The sequence below is a fragment of the Homo sapiens genome, chromosome 2 (assembly GCF_000001405.40).
Source record: "Homo sapiens chromosome 2, GRCh38.p14 Primary Assembly".
Classification (NCBI taxonomy): domain Eukaryota; kingdom Metazoa; phylum Chordata; class Mammalia; order Primates; family Hominidae; genus Homo; species Homo sapiens.
In genome coordinates, this window is record NC_000002.12 from 217,805,664 (window position 1) to 217,827,548 (window position 21,885).

General features: G+C 52.4%; 1 protein-coding gene across 28 annotated transcripts in view, besides 2 other annotated features; it reads right to left on the minus strand.

Annotated features, from left to right (window-relative positions):
• The window catches only part of TNS1 (tensin 1), a 234,192-nt gene that overhangs the window by 5,873 nt on the left and 206,434 nt on the right, over positions 1-21,885 (minus strand). For 26 of the 28 annotated variants that reach the window (XM_047445637.1, NM_001438865.1, XM_047445639.1 and 23 more), the window contains 10 exons: positions 16,077-16,275; positions 12,027-13,096; positions 9,249-9,335; positions 8,022-8,153; positions 7,552-7,644; positions 6,705-6,782; positions 4,585-4,656; positions 4,160-4,328; positions 2,940-3,008; positions 2,412-2,444 (listed from right to left, as the gene is read on the minus strand). In XM_047445637.1, coding sequence (XP_047301593.1) covers positions 2,412-2,444; positions 2,940-3,008; positions 4,160-4,328; positions 4,585-4,656; positions 6,705-6,782; positions 7,552-7,644; positions 8,022-8,153; positions 9,249-9,335; positions 12,027-13,096; positions 16,077-16,275 — 2,002 coding nt within the window. The remainder of the gene's footprint in view (positions 1-2,411; positions 2,445-2,939; positions 3,009-4,159; positions 4,329-4,584; positions 4,657-6,704; positions 6,783-7,551; positions 7,645-8,021; positions 8,154-9,248; positions 9,336-12,026; positions 13,097-16,076; positions 16,276-21,885) is intronic. The other 2 variants (NM_001438866.1, NM_001308022.2) reach the window with 1 other exon arrangement.
• Positions 7,714-8,913: an enhancer, noted in NCBI's record as "CDK7 strongly-dependent group 2 enhancer chr2:218678100-218679299 (GRCh37/hg19 assembly coordinates)". NCBI's record gives its function as "activates an origin of replication core promoter dependent on BRD2, BRD4, P300/CBP, MED14 and CDK7 cofactors, with strong dependence on CDK7, by STARR-seq in HCT116 cells {active_cell/tissue: HCT116}" and the evidence as "EXISTENCE:reporter gene assay evidence [ECO:0000049][PMID:35650434]".
• Positions 14,472-14,972: an enhancer, noted in NCBI's record as "H3K4me1 hESC enhancer chr2:218684858-218685358 (GRCh37/hg19 assembly coordinates)". NCBI's record gives its function as "activates a minimal SCP1, AML or CMV promoter by ChIP-STARR-seq in primed H9 embryonic stem cells {active_cell/tissue: H9 hESC(primed)}" and the evidence as "EXISTENCE:reporter gene assay evidence [ECO:0000049][PMID:30033119]".

Sequence of the window (21,885 nt, forward strand, 5' to 3'; positions counted from 1 at the left end):
TATCACCACACACATACACACCATCACACACATCACCACATGCATACACCACACACACACCACTGCACACACCACACATACCACCACACATACACACCACACACCACCACACACACATACACCACACACACACAAACCATGCATACATACATATACAGACCACACACATACACAACATATACACACCACACACAACACGCAAACACAACATATACACACACCACACACACACACACACACACACACATAATCCAGCATTTCCTACAGCTCTGCTCCTCCAGTCTTGTTTCAGGGGCCAGGAGCAACAGGGCCAAAGGCCTGGGGTAATGCCCAGGTGGTGGGGGAGCTGGGGTCCACAGGGCATCCCCCAGCACCTCCCTTTCCCAGCTGGCTCAGACCATGAGCAGGGGTGGGGGTGATCCTGGCAGAGGGAGGAAGCATGCCAGCCCTGGCTGCGGGTGTCTACCAGGATGGAGACCCGGCAACTGCACCTGACTGGAGCACCGAGCCTGCCCTCCCCTGATATTTCTTTCAGCTGTGGCTTCCAGGCTCCCGCAATAGCCCAGTCCTGTCATCTGCCACAAGGAATAGATCCAGGCAAGAAGCCTCAGCCCGCAAGGGCAGGAGGAAGCGCTTGCAAGATCCCAAGATCTAACATCTCCTTGAATTTTGCACATGAGATCCCTGGCTGGCCTCACCTCGTCCCTGTCATGATTCCCTGTTAGCCCACTGCCCTGCTTGGCCTCTCCCTGTGGCCTCTGCCCCACCCATCAAAGCTTCTTCAGCAGGAGGCTCAACTCAAAACCAGCTCCTGAAGGAGGAAAAGAGGGATTTCCAGGCTTGGGGGCCCAGTTCCCTTCTGTCCCTGACCTTCTTCCCTCGCAGGGCCCTGTGGTGAGTGAGCACAAGCCCCTTCAAACAGGAAGTTCCAGCCTGCTGCCTTGGCCAGCAGAGACACGGGAAATGCAGGAACTCAAAGCACTGATGACCCTATGAAGCCTGGACAAGGCTGAACCCCACCATCCCACATGGCCTCTCCTAAGCTACCATCACTGACCATGTGATAGACTAGTCAGTCCATTCATTCGGACTGAGGCATTCTCACTAGCCTCCTCCTGCCTCTGCTCTTCCAGCCTCCATTCTCTCATTTCTTCACTCAACAAATATATACCACCTCCCCATGTGTCAGACATGGCCCTTCCCTTGGGGAGCTTGCAGGCTGGTGGCCATGAGGCCCCTCCCCTGAAATAGCCCCTCCTACTCCCATTCTCATTTTGACCTGTCCAAATTGAACCTGTCTTTGAAGACCCGTCCTTAAATATCTGCTCTTTCCACCTCTCTGAGGTGCTGATGTGTTCTCCTGCATGAGCTCCCCAGACGTAAGCTGAACTCTCTTGCTGCCTCTCCCTCCCTTGCAACTGTCATTTTTTTAACACTGAACGTTTTGTTTTTCTAAAGCAACCTTATATGAAGTCTGCATATATAAAGGTGAAAGCAGTATTTTACAGCTATAAACAGCAATCCAAAAGCACGACATTTACCTATTATAAAGTCAATCAGTGAGGATAATAGGGCTGTTGGAATAATCCTGACAAAGTGAAAAGTAGATGACAGATCATGGTGATAGTCTCATGTCAGCTTCAGACCCCAGGTTATGCCTATATTTTGTTTGGTTTTGTGATTGTGAAAAAACCCTAGTTACTGCTGATAGACAACTGCAAGGAGCAGCAGAGCTTTCCCTCTCTTCTGTACATCAGGTACAATCCAAGGATGCTAGGATCCTTGGAATACAGTTTGAAAATCACAGAAGCATCTTAGTGCTATTTAGACATCTGTCTTATCTGCTGTGCCAATGGGCCTCCTGAGGGCAGGGTCAGAGACCCAGGCAGGATCTGAGTCCCTTGGAGGCCCCTAGGACATGTCTGCTGGATGGAGGAATCCACCCGAAGGTCCCAGGGCCATCCCCAGAATTCAGACTTTCTGGGCTCCCACATTCTGATAAGGCTGATTTGCTCGGCCACAAGACTCACAGGAAAGCCCACCAAAAAAGCAAGAGCAGAAATAAAGGCAGCTAGAATTGGGGCAGAAAAGATCATGTAAGCAATCTCTGACCCATTTCCATTGCTTCTAATAAGACTGTTTTCTGTCCACTTCCTGCCATCCCTGCTGCTTCTAACCCTGGGAGAGTGAAGGCAGCTGGACCAGACGCTGGGCCTCTGGCCTCGAGGCAGGACAAGGCAAAAGGCCTGGAAGCCTGGTCAAGCTTCACTCGGAAGCTGAGTGACCTTGGCACAAAGGTTTTTGCTGCTCTTTCCCTACCCCCAGCCCTGGTTTCTAAATGTGCCCCGTGCTTCCCTCACTGTGAAGTACAAAGGCCAGCCTGCTGGGCAGGGGTAAGAAGTCACACTTACTTAGCAGGGGCACCACCCTCTGTTTTCATCCACCTGTGGAGAGAAAGTGGGCTCAGGGTAAATCATCGTACTTTCTCCCTAGAGCCCAGCCCCACCCATGCCCAGACCCTCTGCAGGAAGGTCTGGGGAGAGGAGCTGCCCCCCATTCCCCCCTCATTCCCCCATTCCCCCATTCCCCAGGGACAGGAGCTGCCCAAGATCACACAGATGCATTCAAGGTCGAGAGAACACTGCAGCCTGCCTCCTGAGGGGCTCTCCCCATCATGGAGAGGAGAAGCAGATTCAAGGTCAGGGCATGGCAGAGGGGGTAGCAGTGGGCACTGAGTCCCTGGGAGGGTCTCCATATCTATAGTGGGAAAGACTCAAAAGATGCCCAACACGATTACTCACACATGGGCAGACCTTCCAGCTGAATGGAGAATGTATGCACATGCACACACACACACACACACATGCACATGCATGCACCCACACAGACGTCAGTGTTAGAAAGCTGTGTGGGAGAGAAGCTGTGTACAAGAGACTTACTTTCTTTCCTGTGGATCCAGGTCACAGAAGGTGACAGTGTTGAGAGGGTAGTGGCGTCTGAAAAAGAGCCTGCAGCACAGACATCAGATAAACAGAGAATGAGTGCTGAAGGGGCTGCTTTTCCCCTCCTTCCACCAGCAGGTCAGGCCACCTTTCCACCATCTGTGGCTATCGCAGGTCCACACAACTTCTCTCTTATGAGCAAGATGGCCTGAGCTGTTGACACTGGTGACCCAAGCAATGTACAGAGACAGATGTGCCATAGAATCATCCCAAATGCTAGGGGCTGGGGAAGGAAGAAACTGGCACTGAGGAATAGGAAATGTGGGGAGGGGCTGGAAGAAGAAGCAAAGAGGCCAGGGACACTGTTAGGAGAGAGTCCAAGTGGACGGGCTCTGCTCCTAGAAAGCAGGTCCTTTTTATCAGTTGTATTTACAGCCGTATACCCAATGCTGGCAAATTCTCATAGAAGGATGGATGAATGGGTGGATGGATAGATGAATGGAGATACAGATGGATGAAGGGAAAAACGGGTGGTAAGGGATAGATGAGGGATGAATAAATGCAGGGATGGAGGCATGGATGGATGGATGGATGGATGGATGGATGGATGCATGGATGGATGGATGGATGGATGGATGGATGGATGCATGGATGGATGGATGGATGGATGGATGCATGGATGGATGGATGGATAGGTGCATGGATGGATGCATGGATGGATGGATGGATGGATGGATGGATGCATGGATGGATGGATGGATGGATGGATGCATGGATGGATGGATGGATGGATGGATGGATGGATGGATGCATGGATGGATGGATGGATGGATGGATGGATGGATGGATGGATGCATGGATGGATGGATGGATGGATGGATGGATGCATGGATGGATGCATGGATGGATGGATGGATAGGTGCATGGATGGATGCATGGATGGATGGATGGATGGATGGATGGATGGATGGATAGGTGCATGGATGGATGGATGGATGGATGGATGGGTGCATGGATGGGTGCATGGATGGGTGCATGGATGGATGGATGGATAAGTAGCTGGGTAGATGGGAGGTAGATGCAAGATAGATGGATGAGAAGGTAGATGAGCAGTTGGGTGCAAGGAATCAATCAAGTGGTAAATGTGTGGGTACACGGATGAATAGATGAGTCACAGGAAGGAGAACCCCACCGAGGAGCAGGCAGGGGAGTCTTACTTTCTCTGGTTGTCAGTCAGAGTGATTCCCTGGGCAGAGACTTTGAAGTGAACGATGGTGGCAGCTGGCGTGGGGTCTGCAGCCAACGTCTCAGATGTGGCTTTAGAGATGGCCTGTGGCCCAGTGAGTGACTCCATGTCCACAGAGTTGACGAAGAGCACATTGCAGGCTGGAAGAAACCAACCCAAGGGGGAGTCATGGGAGCTGGCGTGGGTGAGGACATTAACCCAGATCCATTCTTCAGGGAGAAGGTAGCAGATAAATTTCAGGCTAGCCTTGAGCCAAGGCATCTGCACATAGAAATGTGATCTTCCCAGAGACATTTGGGCCTGGAGAGACCTCCAGCCTGCACGTGCAGGAGGGGTCAGGGCAGGAAGGCAGAAAGAGAGGCCTGGGCATGGGTACAGTTTCAGGTGACCACTCACCTGCCCCTTGTTTCAGCAGGTCTGCAGTTGAGTTGGCAGGGCCGGAGCTATCTTTCGATTCATCTGTGGGGTCTAAGACAAAAATTCAGTAGGAATTAAAACCCTAGAGCTGGAAAGAAGCACAAGTTTGGCTGGGCTGAAGGTGAGCTCTGCAACTCTTTGGCAGAAGGAACGCTGCTTTTCATACCAGACCCTGGCAGTCAGCCCTGAGTTAGGCTCAGTCTGAACGTTTGATGATTGCTCTAAGCAGCCAGCACACTGGTTGTGAGCTCTGGAGTCCAGCAGAACTGGGCTCAAACCCTCACCCCAGCACTTACTAAGTATCTATAAAACAAAGACGATGATCATGGTACCCACGTCACTGGGTTTTTGAGCGACTCCATGTACAGCTTAGCCAGTGCTTAACATAAAGCAAGCCTTCAAGTGACAATTGGCATTGCTGTTATTGTTTTGCATTGATATATCTTTGTGTAGGTCAATAAATCCCCTAATTCCCCTAATTCATTAAACCATTGATCCAGCATAACTCTAATTTCAATATTAATAAGAATTGAGTGATGGATATATTAGCATATTGATGTAACCCACAATGTATGCATTTATCAAAACATCACATTGTACATGGTACATAATTTTTTTTTTTTTTTTGAAACAGAATCCTGCTCTGTCACCCAGGCTGGAGTGCAGTGGCATGATCACAGCTCACTGCAGCCTCAAACTCCCATGCTCTAGCAGATTATCCCACATTAGCCTCCAGCGTAGCTGGGACTACAGGCATGAGCCACCATGCCTGGATAATTTTTTTACTGTTTTGTAAAAACAGGGTCTTCTGATATTCTACAGGCTGGTCTTGAATGCCTCACTTCGAGCAATCCTTCCACCTCAGCCTCCCAAAATTCTGAAATTATAGGCATGAACCACCATGCCCAGCCAATATTTGCATTTTTTAACAAGTCCCTGGGATATGCTGACACTGCCGGTCTAGGCCCATACTTTGAAAACAACAGGTTTATACAATCTAAATATTAAACAGTTTTTTAATTGCTGAACTACAATGGTGAATTCCATAGGAATATAATTCAATTCATGTCTGAATTGTGTCATTGGTTAATAGTGCTATTTAAGTTGTATTTGAACTTATAAGCTAATAATATTGGTCCATTACCATTAATAATTCAATGAACTGAATTGGATAAGTAGAAATTGTCCAAAAATACTGGCGGTGTTATGTGTGGGCATAGCCCCAGGAGCTCCAAGAAAGACTAGAAAAAAATCCTAGGGCCACAGCCTAGGAGCGCTTCTGAAGGTCCTATTGTTGAACAGACAGAGTGGGGAGAAGGCAGCCCAGACCGTTCCGAGACCTTGCACTGCGGGTGAGGCCAGTGACCCTCAGGTGGGCCCTGTGTTGCTGAGGGCTGGGCAGTAGAGGCCTATGCTGGGAGGAGTTCTAGGTGCCCACCTGCCACGCTCCAGGGCTGATGCGCCTCCATGAGAGAAGCTAAACACTCCTTCCCTAGCCCTGCCGTCTCACTCAAATTCTCATCCTGCATGTCCTCATGCTCTTGGAGTCCATTCCAACTTCCCACAATCAAAACAGGACTTGCTCTTCCCTAACAGCTCAGCATCCCCTTAGTCAGGGAACACCCTCCCAGCACACAGATTAGAAAGTCTGGCGACATTTAGGCACCGCCTTCTCTTTCCTGAGGCTGCTCTCTCCTCTCCATCCAGACCAACCCCTCAACACCTCAGTCTGCCTCCCCACTCTCTTCCCCAGATGCCCATCTCATCCTCCAGGACATGTCTCCTGTCCCCTACTTCTGTCTCCTGTCATCCCTGGGACGACGTGGTCTGAGGATTCCATATGAATTTCTTCATACGGAGAGTTTTCCTGAACAATCTGGCAAGTCCATTTATGTATGCTCCTGGAGTCAAGCTTTTTCATAAATTTTTTCTTCTTTTTTAATAGGAAGAAAAGGAGAGTAGTTTTGAGTTTCTCCAGACTGGCAAAATGACATGTGTCCTCCAGCCCTGGCCCATGTCCGGAGTGGCTGGCAGGATCAAGACATGACAAGGGCCAGCTCAAGGGTGTGGGTGGTGAGCCAGGAGTCTCACGTTCCTACCTCGGTTTGGAATGACCAGCTTGCAAGGCAGGGCCAATGGGATGATGGAGTGCTGGTAGACCAGGGCAGACAGCGATCCTGTAGGGAGGCAGACGGCATGTCATGGGCAGTGATACTGGAAGCCAGAAGGGAAACCTCCACCTCTACCCTTACACCGATACACACAATCTTCCACTTCTTTATTACCTCTACCTCAACCCACCACCAAAGCTGAAAATTCACACCCTCTTGTTGAACAAGATCCAACAGAGAAGATTCCCAAGGTTCACTCTCGCAGTCATAAAGTTACCTAACAACTTTCCTTTGCAGAAAGTTCCTCCTAACATCGCTCCTAATGCACCCCAGTTACTGGGGCTCCTCTGAGAACAGGGCAGAAGGATCAGAGAATTGTGGGATCCAATCCCAGCTCAGTCACTTCTCACCTGTTGGTTCTCAGGTAAATGTAACTTTGATGACTCTCGTTTTTTCATGTGTCAATTCCTCCCTATTAGGGAGGATGACCCCTACCAAACAGGATGGTTGTGAGGCCAGATGTGATAGAAGGTGCTGAGACTGTGACATTCACATGGTAGGTGGTCAATTAAGGCAGCTGATTTTACCATTGTTACTCCAGTTATAATGATAACAAGTCCCAGCTGGGTCGGACAAACACAGACTGCAGTTTGGCAGAGTTAGGAGCCGCACTGCGGAGGGAGAGAAGCTTTCATTCATTTTCTCTGCTGAATTTATGACAAGGGTGACTGGCAGAGCCTGTCAGAAAGAACTTGGGGTCAGACCCCTGGAGGAACCCAGGACAGGACCAAGACTCAGGCCAGACTGTAGAGATGGGGGCAGGGGGACAGCTCACCGAAGTTTGGCTCATTGGGGCAGCCCTTGAGCTTGACTCCTCTGGGGCCAGTCTCTATCAGAAAATGCCTGACCAGCTCATGGGTCATGTCTCCTGGGACAAAGAGAAAGAAATAAGGCTCAGTCCCTGCCCATGGCTTCCTCCCACCACCTCCCAAGACTGCTTCAAAACTTCCGCAGTGTGCGGGGCCAAGATGGGAGAAATGACTGAAGAGAGAACGTGGCTGGAGCCCCATGGACTGCAGAGCCCACTGCTGCTCTCCCACCCCTCAGGAAACACATGGCAGGCACCCAATCGTCCTGCTTTCCCAATCTCTGACCTCAACCATCACCAAGCCCAAGACACCCTCTTCCGAAGAGCCTGATGGGAGTTAAGGTCCTGCCCAGCACCCTGGGTCCCTCCAGCACCTCCAGGTTTAGCGACTGTAAAGCTCACCTGGTCCTGAGCCCCATTCTGGGAGATGAGGTTACCTTTTTTATTCTGCTGCATGATGGTTGGAGGTGGCGAAGACACCTTCATGGCCAGCCCGTACGCGCCTCGGAAGGAGTGACTGTCGCGGATGATGAAGGCCCCCGGCTCCTGGTCCTTGAGGAGCGCGATGGCTGCATGGGGAAGGGACAAGGAGAGAGGAGGAAGCAAGACCTCGGTGGCGCTAGTTTTACTTAAGTCTCATTGAGCCTACCGACCTTCGTTCTTTCTTAGGTGAGACAAATTTTCTTTAAAGTTAAAATTTAACTACTCCTACGGGTCTTCCTGTACTCAGGTTGGCAAACTTATTCTGTTGGGTTTTTATGTTTGTTTTTGTGAGACCGGGCCTCACTCTGTCACTCAGGCTGGCATGCAGTGGCACAATCATGGCTCACTGCAGCCTCAACCTCCTGGGCTCAAGTGATCCTCCCACCTCAGCCTCTCCAGTAGCTGGGACCACAGGCCACTATTCAGTGTGTGCCATTTTGCCTGGCTCATTTTCTTTTTGTTTTTTGTAGATTCAGGATCTCACTATGTTGCCCTGGCTGGTCTCGAACTCCTGGCCCCAAGTGATCCCCCTGCCTTGGCCTCCTGAAGTGCTGGGATTATAGGTGTGCACCACCACACCTGGCTGGCAAACTTACTCTGTAAATGGCCGGAGAGTAAATATTTCAGGCTTCGCAGGCCATGCAGCCTCTGCTACAACTACTCCACTCTGCCACTGCAGCAGGACAGCAGCACAGGGAGGATGCAAGCCAGCAGGTGTGGGGGCGCCCCAGTAAAACTTCATTTACAAAAGCAGGCAGCATCCAGATTTGACCCATGGGCTGCCGTTGCTGACCCCTGTCCCACACCCAGCCTTCCCCTGAGAATCATTCCCCTATTCCCAACTTTGTTCTCTCTCCCTGTAAAATGCAAAAACCTCCCACATCAGGCAGACAGAGAGCTAAGGTTTCATATTATCTTAGCAGACCTTTTACTTTGCCCAGGAAAACCAAGGCTTTGCTGTTTTTAAGAACCCTTCCAAGAGGTGTCTACAACTACTGCTTCTGTGTTCCCACACTTCACTGCAGGAAGTGCTTCCTACTGTCCAGCTTCAACCCCAGCCCCCTCTGTGATGACCCCCTGCTACAAAGAGGACTGAATTTGCCTCTGTTCCTTGCCCAGGGAAGACACAGCAGGCCTCAGCCAGCTATGGCCTCTGATGCACCACAGAGCCCAGCACTCACCCTGCTCCCTGGAGATCTCAGGCTTGTACCAATACTTAGAAGTGTCCTGGACAAACTTCACTTTAGCCCGCGTCTCCGGGCTGTTGTCTAAAGCAGGAGAAGGGAAGAAAGTGTTATGGGTTAAATTGTGTTCACCCAAAACATACATCAAAGTCCTGGCCCCCAGTGCTTGTGAATTTGACCTTATTTGGAAATAGGGTCTTTGCAGATGTAGACAAATTAAGATGAGGTCACACAGGATTAGGGTGAGCCTTAATCCAGTATGCCTGTATGCCTGGTGTCCTTACAAGGAGAGGAGACAGAGATACACACAGGGGAGAGCACCATGGAAGGTGCAGGCAGAGACTGGGGTGATGCGTCTACATGCCAAGGGACACCAAGGATGCTGGCAGCCACAAGAAACTGGGAGAGAGGCCTGGGACAGATTCTCCCCTAGAACATCAGGAAGGAGCCAACCTTGCCAACACCTTGATTTTGGACTTCTAGCCTCCAGAACTGTGAGAGAACATATTTCTGTCATTTATAAGCCACTAAGCACATGGTCCTTTGTTATGGCAGCCCCAGGAAACTGACATCAAAAGCTGATGTCCTCGAACACCATGCGAACACAGTGGAAGGGACCTTCGGCCTCCTCATCCATCCCCTATCCCCTGCCCGCCATCTGGGTGGCTGAGCCACCTCCTGGTGGAGGGCCTGGCACTGCATTCCCACAGAGCCCACTGAAAGCCTTCCTCCACCCCGTGTCCCCCTTTCCCTAGAAGACTGTGACTAAAGCCTTCCTACAGCTTTTCTCCCATGGCCTAAAACACTTGCTTCTAGAACCTTTCTCCACAGGTTCAGTTTCTCAACTTCAGCATACCCACCATGAAGATGAGGGCAGAAAGATCCATTTCTTCCCCCTTTTCCCCAGGCCTCTCCTCACTTTCCACAGGGAAGGCCTATGTTCTGCATCACATAGAACAAAAAAAAAATCACTTCTCTTTGGATCAAACAGGTGATGGCTGGCCTAGAATCTAGAGGCCATCTACTGCATGTCAGGCACCCCACTTCTCAGGCAGACAGCACCCCCACACACACCCATGCCCAGACTCTGCAGACCTTGGGAATTTGTCATAGAACATTAGATTCTGGAGGGAGCTCAGACAGGACACAGTCCAACTGCCTAATTTTACATAAAAGGAGGAATTCAGGGATGAGAAGTGACTTGCCCAAGTCACACAGATGGTGACCTTGGTAAGAGGCCCTAGCAGTCAGTTTAGGACCAGCTAAACTGTATCTTCCTGTCTAAGCATCAGGATGTGCGGCCCTCACTCTCAACCTCTTCCTTCAGCTTTTGGCACCAAAGAAAACACAAAAAGGGAGGGAGAACAGAAAAAGATGAGGATTCCACATTTTTCCTCTCCTGTCTTCAGAGACAGAAGTTGGCATGAAAGACACTGCAAAGTTAAGAGAGCAGATCAGGAGACACAAGTTGTGTCTCCAGTGCTTAGTCAATTTCAACCTATGATTTACACTCCCTTATGCTTCTGGGATCTGTCTCCGGGCGAGTGTGAGGGGAGAGGTCAGCTCCCTTTCCTGGCAGCCGTGTGCTAAGGAAGGTCTCTGGGTTAGGCAGCTGGGCCATGCAACTGCTGCAGGCTGCCTTTCTCTGTCTGAAGCCCCAGGCCCCACTGCTGCCGTGGCCTGTTTAACGAGCTGTCAGAGGCGGCTGCAGTCCCACGTGCCTTCCTGTGTTGACTCCAAAGGCTATTTTAAGCAGGGAAGATGGTGGGAAACAGGAAGTGTCCCAGCTACTAGAAGTTTTGCATCCTTCAAGGAGAGGGGCTGGGAACCAGATGTCCCCGGTGGGCGGCAGGAAACAGGCAGTGCAGGGTCATTCTAGGTGTCCTGGCTTGGCAGGCTCAGGGCAGGACCTGAGAGTGACGCCGGGAGAATCTAGGGAGCTGGGGCCCATCTGAGGCTGCCCAAAACATTCTAAATCTGCCTCAAACATCCAGGGCCACTGTGCACACAGTCAAGTTCAAAGTTGGCCTTTGTGTTTAGACAATGAGCTTTCTAAGTAGAGGCAAAGGTGGCAAGTTCTGGCGATAAGTGAAGAATTCACTGCACAAACCTGCATGAGTTTCGATGAAGTTGGGTCTACGAGGAGTGATGTGGCACTGTGGGGCTGGCAAAGGTATGGAGATCCAGGTTTGGAAGGCAGGTTTTCAAGGTCATGCTAAATATGACCCCCAAGATATGGACACATGATAAAGACAACTCCAGTGATGCTTGAAGACCATTAGTTTTGGGGTGGCGTGGCCTGGATTGGAAGCCTTGGCTCTGCCATTTCTTGACTGTATGATACTAGACAAGTGACAGAGCCTCTAAGCCTCAGTTTGTAAACTGGGGTTAATAATATTAATACCTACTTTACTAAGTGGCCAAGAAGCTTAAATGACACAGTACTCAGCTCAGAGCCTGGCACACAGCATGTGCTCAATGAGTGGTAATGGCTATGAGGACGATGATAATCATAACAGTAATACTATTCATTATGATTTTTATCATCCTCATCTGTATCCACATCCTCATCTCAGCATCCACAACCACAGCACACGTATCGTAAGGATACCTCCAACTCTCTTTATACGGATAAAGAAACTAAGTCCCAGAAGTCAGTGATTCACCCAGGGTCGTCTGCCAAGAGAATGTCAGAATAGACACTGGGATAGATATTTCACTCTTCTACTTACTTCATCAGCAGGAGAGGTGAAAATGGAAGGGGGAGAGGCCCACCTGGCATGGAGTACTTGGAGAAGTCGGGCAGAGTGTGGGAGAAGGAGACGGTGCTGCCCCCACTGGGACTGGACATGCCGCTGGCGACAGGCGAAGACACCTTCCCATTGATGGTGGCATAGTTGGGGAGGCTGCCTGCCCGGTCTCCCACTGACATCCTTCGCTTCTCTGGCAAGGCTGGTGTTGGGCTCCCTTGCCGGAAGGCTGCGGAGTCTGGTGACGGGGAGGTGGCAGGGCTGCTCAGGCCAGGGTAGTAGGCAGGGGAGACAGGGAAGGAGGGCGTGGAAGGAGCCTGGTAGCCAGAGGCACTGCTCTGCCGGGACAGTGTGGGTCTCCGATCCTCCGGGGTAGAATAGCCACCATAGGCCACATGCCGGTCCAAGCAGGGGCTGCCGGGAACCACAGATCCAGACCCTCCGAGGTGACGGCCCAGGCTGGGGCTTCCAGGGCTGGCTATTGCATTGCTATGAAGACCGGAGGCCAGGTTGCCTTGGTGAGCCCCAGGGTGCCGGCCCAGGCTGGGACTCCCCGGGGTGGTGGCCACTTTGTTGTGGAGGCCAGAAACCTGGTAGACCCCTGCTGGGTGCCGACACAGGCTGGGGCTCCCCGGGGTGGTCGCTGCACTGCTCTGGGGGCTGGAGACAGTGCTACCATGGAAGCCAGTGCCTGGTGGACCCATCATCTGGTGATGGCTCAAACTGGGACTGCTGGGGGCAGCCATGCTGGGATTGATGGCCCGCCAGCCGAAGCCAGGACTAGGGGGAGTGTTGGTGCCCACTGTTCTGTGGCGCGCCTGAGGGCTCCCAGGCACCGTGTGGACGCCAGCCACACTGAACTGAGCTCGAGCCTGGCTTTCCGGAGAGGAGCTGAAATGCTGAAGTGAGTAGTCGGGGCTGCTGTAGCTACTGCCCACAGTCGGGAGAGGAGAAGAGCTCTGGTAGTTTCTCTGGGCAGACGGGCTGGGCTGTCCCAGGCTGCCTGAGCGGAAGCCAGACTCCAACAGAGGCTGGGTGGGCGTCCGGGGACCCTGGTCACTGCTCTCTCCCGACGGGAAACTCCCCACTGAAGTGCTGCAGAGAGATGGCAGGTTGCGATGTCAGTGGACAGAACTGAATGAAGGGTGGATTTACAGCAGGCTGTCTGCCCTCCCTCCAACCATGAACAACAGTAAGAATGGTCCCACTGGCAGTGCGGAAGGACATCAGGGTTTTATACGTTACCTTACAGAACCATCAGAAGAAGAAACTGAGGCTCAGGGAGGTTAAGCAGTAGGCTTAGTACCACACTGCTTATAAAAGACCAGGGTTTCAACTTAGCTGTGTCTGATTCCAAAGCCCACGTCTTCCCCACTGCACCATGCTCACTCCTGAGCCATGTCAAAGTGAAGAGCCCTCTCCTATCGAAACTGGAGGTGGCTGTCATGTTATAGCCTCCAGCATCACAGAAATTCCTAATGGAGTTTCCTGGCTCCTGTTCCTACTGGGAGTAGCCCTGTCTTGACTCAGTTTCCTCAAGTGTGATATCATCATCCTTAAACATTGACAGAGAGTGCTAGAATTGGGCTTTCACTCCTAGATGGCTCCAAAAAAGCAAAGACAAGGAATCACAGGGGAAGGTTTCACATCAGGGGATTTGAGGTCATTGTAAGGTCTGCTCTCCAGCCACTGGGGATGTGGCCACCAATGGAGAAAGCTGTCTTGCATGGTAATGAGGCTCCTGTCATTAGGAGCATTTAAGCAGAGGCTGACAGACCTATTGGCCTGAATGCTGTAGAGGGAATTTCCTGCATTGGGAGGTTAGATGAGATGAGCTCAGAGGTCACTACCAATTCTGACTCTGAAACAACTCAGTTCAGAGGAGACTATACCTGGGGTAATTGCCACAGTCAAAGGTTCCCTTGTAAAGTTAAGTCTAGGTCTGCATGGAGTGACAGATGAAAGCACAGCAGTACAATGTGATGGCCAGTGAGTTTTTTTGCTTATTAAAGTTTTTCCATGTGGAAAATGACAGGACTGGATTAGGTGACCCTGACTCCTTCTAGACCCAAATTTCTATCCAACTATGGTGAGAGAAACAAAGGTTGACAGGGGCCTTACATAAACTAGTATGTAGGGAGGGAGCAGGCAGGCTGTGCACCAGGAACCCCCCATGGGGAGAGGTCCTTACTTAGCCAATGGGCCAAAACCTGGAGCTGCAGGCTGGAAGGATCTTGTTGTGGGCTGGCCCTCCCTGGGCCAGGCTGGATAAGCTCAGGTTCACGGGGTGATATGAGGTTTTGGTTGGGGGTGTGCTCTTGGGCCAGGCAAGAGCCAAGGGCAAGGAGAAGGTCAGGGGCCAGGCTAGGGCAAAGTCTACCTTGCATCCCAGAAGGGGCCAAAGCAGAAGGCCACCTCCTGGTATAATCCAGAATAAACTGGATTCTGAGGAGTGGGAGACAGAGCCAGGCTGAGCAGGGTGAGAGAAGGAGACACTAAAATGGAGTTCTGGAAGGCTAATCCCAGGGGAGAAAGGCTAGCTTCCTGGAAAGGGCCAACACTTCAGCAGGAGGGATTTGAGTGAGAAACAATGAACAACTTCCTAATGCCAGGGCTCACTGAACATCAACAATGGGTGGCTGGGACAACTTAGGAAAATCCCCTTTCCTTTAAAATAGGAAATGCAACCCTCGGCCAGAGTCAGGCCTCCTGAGCAACGCAGGCTGCTGCCTGTTAAGAGGCTGGGGAAGGGGAATGCTTGGCTTAGAATCCAGAAGACAGTTGCCTCTGCTCATCTGCTCCCCTAGTCATCCCATGGTGCCCCCACTTGCAGGGGAGGCTCAGCATTGAGCCAATGTAGACTGTGCAGCAAACTGGACCCACTGGGCCTGGCAGGGGAATTTGCAGGCTCTGTGACATCCCAGGCTAGGGAGGGCAGTGGGCACGGCGAAGAAGGGATGGTCAGGGCAGAGTCTCCCCTCCTGGGGGCGACACCTCCTAGGTCCTCCTCCTTTGCCTGGCACTCGATGCCTTGCCTGAGCTGATTGCAACCCTCCTTTCCTATGCCGTCATCCCATCTCTTTGTCCCCTCCACCTTCACCCCCACTACCCCAGTCAAGCAGCTCCTTGCTGCACCCCTCCACTAAGCCTGTCAGCAGGGACTGTCACCCACCTCTGGGCTTTCATCTCTGTGTGATGCACTCAGAAATATGGATGCCAGCCATCCATCCACCCAGGCATCCCCTAATGGCAGGCCACATGCCCTCAGCCTCACACTCCCAACATGGCCACAGCCCAGTCCTCTGTCCCTGCTGGGCTGTCCTTCTGGAATGCCCTGTCTCTCTTTCTTCATCTTTCAACATCCTGCTACTTCCTCTACACCCTTCACAAATGCCTCCAGCCCTCAGAAATCCTCGCTGCATCCCTAGCCAGAAATAATGGCCCCTTGTTCTGAGCTCCAAGCCCTTCACTCATGTGTGGGCTTTGGGCCCATCTGACTCTCATCCTGTGCAGGGAGGGCGCCATGATGCAGGTCTGGGGCAGAGGATAGAGATGCGGGCTCTGGAATCACACGCTTCCACCTGAATCTGATTTCTGCCACTGCTTAGCTGTGGCACCTTTATGCCTCAGGTTCCTCTTCTGAAAAGTGGGAACAATAATAGTGCTCACCTCCTAGGATTGCTGCGAGGATTAAATAACTGCATAAAGCACTTAGCAAAGTGCCAGGTACCTAGGATGAGCCCACTACATAAGTCATTACTGTTGGTAGATTTTCAACTTGGGGAAGGACTTTGCCACATTCACCGTGGTACCCTTCACTCCTTCCAGCACAGTTTTGGATGGGCGGAATTGAATGCGGCCTGGGAATTATAGGTCACTGGGCTCCCCACAGGATTCAGCGCGCAGGACATGTGCCCTCAATGCACCTTGATGAACTGGTTTGCAAGGTACCGCCATCTGGGTATGCTTTCTGCCTGTCCACGCCATAGGCAACAGATCCAGGAGGCCTCACCCATCCCGTCCCAGTCCCAGGCCCGGATTCCCATCCCCCACCCACTGCCCCTTCCCGGCTTACCTGTCAGCACTGAGGATGGGGCTGCTGGTGGAGAGGGGGCTGGGGGAGACAAAGGAGCCACCCAGGGTCCCGTTCCTCAGGGGTATCTCATGGCCATAGGCCTGGGTGGCTGGAGCACTAAAGCTCTTGGGCTCAGAGTCCTGAGCTCGGGGTCCAGCCACCGCTGTCCGTGCCACAGACTCCACATAGCTCCGGGGCTCTGGAAGGGGCAAGAGGACAGAGACACTGAGCACAGATGCACAGGGGTGCAGTGCAGGTCCCCCCCAACCTCCCCTGGAACACAGCTTCCTGGACTCCTGCCTGGGAACATAGGAATAGCCCCCAAAGGACAGGCAGGGCTCCTGCCTGCCCAGACCCACCCTGCCCTGCAGTGACCTTTCACCAGGGCCTTGCTCAGAGGAGGGGGCCCTGAAATGGATCCCAGGCCCCGCCTCAGAACATGGCCATCAGAGACTCTTCCCTCCAAGGACTAGGAGGCTGTCCATAGCTGGCACCCCCTTTGGCTGCTCTCTTTCTTCAATGATCTTGCTCAGCACCCAGGCCCTTCCAGGTTCTCCTCGTGCCACTAGAGTCTGGGGCCCTACAGTGGGCCCAGAGGTCCATCCCTGCCTTGCCTGTATCCCAGGATAGTGCCAGAGTTCATGTGAGCTCCACCCCCTGCCCAGAATCCAGAAACAGCCTTGGCCACCTAGCAACAGGCCTGCACTGGTGAGTCTTGCCCTGTGGGGCTGCTGTAGACTCACCAGCCCCTTTGATGCCAAGACACACCCACCCCTCTCTGCCTGACACACTCAGCATTCCTCTAGAGACTGGCATCAGGGAACCCCATTCCCAGGCGGAACTCAACATTCCATCGCCCACCTCTGGCATTCCTGTAGCACTGAGCAGTTTAGTTTACAGAGGACCTCATTATACACGGCACTACCTGGTGTTCAAAACAGCCTAAGAGGGGGTGGGGGACACACGCTAGAAAAGGCCATTTTACAGATAAGGATGGATGCTGAGGCCCGACAAGGGAAATGACTAGGTCCCCAGATGGCCCGACTCCCAGACCGGCACCTGCCCAACTCCTCTACGGCCTCTGAGGCCAGCTCCCAAACGAACTCCGCTTGAAAGAGGAAGAAGCAACAGAACGCTCTTGTTTACCCCGGGCCATGATCCGGGAGGAATGTCATTCCTACCACCTCCAAATCCCACCCTGTCCCTGTCTTACCCAGGAGGAACCTGGCCTGAGTACAGAGCCATACTGCCCACAACTAAGGCATCCACTGAAATCAGCCTGAGAAACTGAAGAACCAGAGTCTGTGCATCCCTCAGGAGGCCAGGCCCCTGCAGCCCCTGCTGGCCAAGACTGCAATGGTCAGAGTTGGAGAAGAGCCCCCTCCTCCAGGTCTCCTCCAGAAGACAATGCAGAGATCCCCTAACCAGGGCCAGTACACTTTTTTGTAAAGACTTAATAGTAAATATCTTAGGCTGTTGGGTCAGGCTGTCACTGTTGCAACTATACAACTCTGCTGTTGTGGTGTGAGAGCTTACATAGACAATAGGACAGTGTATGGGCATGGCTGGGTTGCCATCAAACTTTCTTTACCAAAATAGTCAGGTCCTCCAGGTCCCTCCTCCAGGTCCCTCATGGGTGACAGGCCTGGGGTCCAGCTAGCTGAAATGCAACCTTCCTCCCCTTAGCCCAAAGAAAACCTTAATTTGGAAGGAGCCTAGTCACCAGGGTGCTAGCAGGGTGCTTCCAGCCTTTGCTGCATAGGGGCATGGCCTCCGTGGAGTGGCTTCTGGGGTGGCCCTCAGGTCTGACATCCTACACCCAGGCCAGAGGCCTCTCTAGACCCCGGAAGAGGATGGTCCCTCAGCACAGGACCCTTTACAGAGCAGGACCCAGAGGCTGCAATGGAGTCTGCACACAGCTCCAGCCACAGCCTGCCCGTCTGTCTTTTGTCCCCATACAGAACCCCCTCCACCCAACAGCAAGACAGTGGACAAGGCTGGGGCAGTTTGTCTGCAAAGAGGCAGGCACGGGAGGTCTATTCTAGGTAGCAGGCACAAGGTGATGTAGAACCAGGCACCTCGGCACCCAAAGCTGGAATCCATGTAGGCAGTGCCAGCAAGGCCTCCTCGAAATCCTCCCTCAACCAGCCCAGGCCACCCACCTCCTCGCAGAAGGCCCAGGCCAAATTCATACCAAAGGCATGGATTCTGTGCCACCCAAGCACGAGGCTCTGCTGGAACTAGAAGACAATGCAGATATCCCCTGACCAGGCCCAGTACACTTTTTTGTAAAGACTTAATAGTAAATATCTTAGGCTGGTGGGTAAGGCTGTCACTGTTGCAACTACACAACTCTGCTGTTGTGGTGTGACAGCTTACATAGACAACAGGACAGTGAATGGGCATGGTTGGGTTGCAATCAAACTTTCTTTACCAAAATAGTCAGTGGACAGGATCTGACCAGCTGCCACAGTGTGCTGACCCCTGATCTAACCTATCTCCTCAGCCCAGAGAGGTGGAGCCGTGCGCCAGGACACATGGATAATTAGTGGCAGTGAACACTAGCACCAAAGTCTCCAGACTCACAAGCTGGCTCTGGGTGACCTAGACAGGGCCCATAGGCTCACAGGACACCCAGAGCTGGCTCTATCCAGCACTTCAGCCCATCAGGCAGAGAAAAGCCAACTCCATAGGGCTATTCCTAGTGATAAAAAGAGCAAACAATTATACAGGAAAAGTAGGATTCGGGGGATGTAAGTACCTTGCCCAGGTCACAGCTGGCAAGGGGCACAGTCAGCCAAGGAACCCAGGCAGTCTGGCCCCAACCTGCCCTTACCCACTGCACATACAACCCTCTGCAAGTCGGGAAGCCAATAGTTTCAGTGAGTGTCTTTAGTCTTGGGCAACTGGTAACCCAACTTGGGAGAAGAGAACATCAGAGGGAGTCTCACCCACAGCCATGCAAATGACACCCAAGATCAGAGTCCACTCTCCCCTCCCGTCTCTTGCCACCCTAGGTCACTCTCTGAAAACTCTTCCCAGACCCTTCCAGGCACTCATCATGGCTACACCCAGGTCCCCACGGCTCTCGGCACCACCTCTCTCCCAGCCAGGGAGAGAAAGCCACTCTTTGGCTGCCCGTGGGCTCCCAGAGCCTGCCTAGCTGATCTGTGTGCCGAGCCCTCACACAGCACCTGGCACACAGCAGGCCCTCAATCTGCATGTGCTCCACAAAGTCACAGAAGCATGATCCTTACCCTCCAGCCCCATCCAGAGACACATAGTAAGACCTCAGAGGCACACATCCATTTTTCTCATTCCCTGAAGTTCAAGTTGAAACCTATGTGAATGACACTGTGAAGGTGTGTGCTCTTCCCCAATTCACTGACGTCGCTCCTGATCTACTCTCTACCCTGATCTGCATCCCTGAAGGCAGACTTTTATTTACTATGTCATCCAGACCCCCTTAGTCTCTGGCTCAGGATAGCTTTGGCCTTTGGCTAGTAAGGAGGGACTGGCAGGGTATGAGAGGGAGGGAGAGAGAAGGGCAAGGTGCCAGTGGCTACATCCCCTACCCACCTCCCTCTAGCCACACTCCAGTCAGCAGCCCTGCCCTCCAGCTCCCTCCTGGTTCCTTAAGGCCTGGGAGGATGGCTCCCTGCTCCTGATAGGGAGCACTCGGGGTGCTTTACCATCCCTCACTGCTCTGCCCAGACCTTTTAAGAGTCCATCAACTGTCCTAGGTTGCTCCATTGGAATGAACCATCAGTTTCCCACCAGGCCCCTGACCCACACATTAGGTAAGCAATTCACATTGCCCTACGCCCCACCCTTTTAAAGAAGTACAGGTACCCCTGCTAGCAACAGTAAAACTGAGATAAAGTGGGCCACACCACCCCGTCCTGTGGTCAGGACACAGCCAAGCCTGTGGCTTGCGGGTGCTTACTTGCCATTAGGCAAGGCTGGGTCTACTAACTGCTTCTGGCCTAAACACAGGCACCTGAGCTGCAGCCTGGGAGTCTGATGGCAAGATTGCATGGAGGGCCCATGGGACAGTGTATTAGAAACCCTGAGATGGCTCGATAGCATGGCCAAGTTCTTAAGGCAACAGTCCCATTGGCCCCTTCAGCTCCTAAACTGCAGAACACCAGAGGAGTTCTCAAGACACTGGGAGTCTGAACTTGGGGAACAGGATGGCTCGCCCAGGGAGAAGCAGCAGCATCCATTCTGACCACAATGTTGGAAACAGCCCTTGTGCATTGGGTGGCCAACCTAGCCAAGGCCACTCAGACCCAGCCCCACCTGGCCCTGCCCTCACCGGGCCCCCACCTCCTTTCTCCTTCCCAGTGCATCCTCTTCCTTGGTCAGCTGGTCTGCCCTCCCACTGCCACCCCTACCTGCCCTTCCAGTCCCAGATCATGGGGTGGAGATGAACGAAGCCCTTCCATACAATCTCTACTCCTCATGAACCCAGAGCGGGAAGGACCTTTGAGAAGTTATTTGATTTCCTGAGTTCATCTCCAGAACTGTTTAAAACCCATCTTCAGGGCTAAACATTAGTTTTCCCAAGTTTTCAGATGCAGATCTCCGTAGTGAAAATGCTTCCTTTTTCTGTTTATTCCCTGGCTCTTTCTCTCTCTCCCACCCCAGGACAATATACTTCTACTTGCAAGCTCTCCCCTCACCCACCACCCGTGCACTTACTAGAGACTTTCTGGGACTCCGTTTCCTCATCTGCAAAGTGGGAATGAGGATACCCACCTGCCCAGCTAGGATCAGGTGAGAAGAGGCAGGAAAGAAAGTTCTTCCTAATTCTTTCCTGCCAATTCCAGGCCCAGTGTTCAGAACCAGCCCTGCTGCTGCCTCCGCTGCTCCTAGCCGCCCATCCCTGCCTTCCTCCACTCCTCACTCGCACCACCTCTCCTGCTGTTTTCCTCCTTCCCTCCAATCCTGGAGCAGCTGCATCAGAGGCTACAGGGAGTTGGGCAGGGCGGGAGAGGTGGGGACAGGGAGGGTGCTTCATGTAGAACATTCCAGGAGCCCAAACCCTGCCAAGTGGCTGCTGGCGGTGAAGAGCAGCTGCAGCACAGGGTGACTTGGGCTCCTCCGGTCTGGCACTGTCAGCTCCTTGTCCACACCCTGAAGTGCATTTTCTGTCTCCCAAAGAGGCTCTTTGCTTGGAGAGAAGGGGCACACCCACCCTAACTAAAATCAAGACATGTGGGTGGGAAAGAAAGAAGGGAATATGGAAACCCCCAGGTCCCAGATCTAGAAGCTCAAAAGTTAGAATTCCAAACATTTTAGATTGAGCCACATGCCCCCTCCTCCCAGCCCCCATGACATCCTATTCCTACCTCAGCTCAGCACTTTTGCCTAATATTGAAATGTCTGTTGGCATCACTCTCCTCACCAGCTGCCTTAACACATCCTTATATTCCCAAAGCCTGGCAAACAGTCAGCGCACAAAGTATTATGAATAAATGAATCAATGCATGAAAGAATGAATGAATGTAAAGTGTTTCGCACAGCGCCTGGGACATAGCAGACATCCCTCAAATTATTCTTTTCCCCAAGCCGAATAATCCTGCCTCTGGCCATTTTTGCCTCACTGGCATTTTTTTCTGAATTTCCCATCAAAGTATCAGCAAGGAAATCAAGCAGAGCCTCAGAGGGTCAGCAAAGAATGAGCTTTAGTCTGACCCGGGCAGTGGCACATGAGTCAGGAAATAAGGAACTGGCTGCCCACAGCTTTGCTCCCTGCCCCTTCCCCGCTCCACTCCCCAGGCCACGGGCAGCAATTCCAACTCCC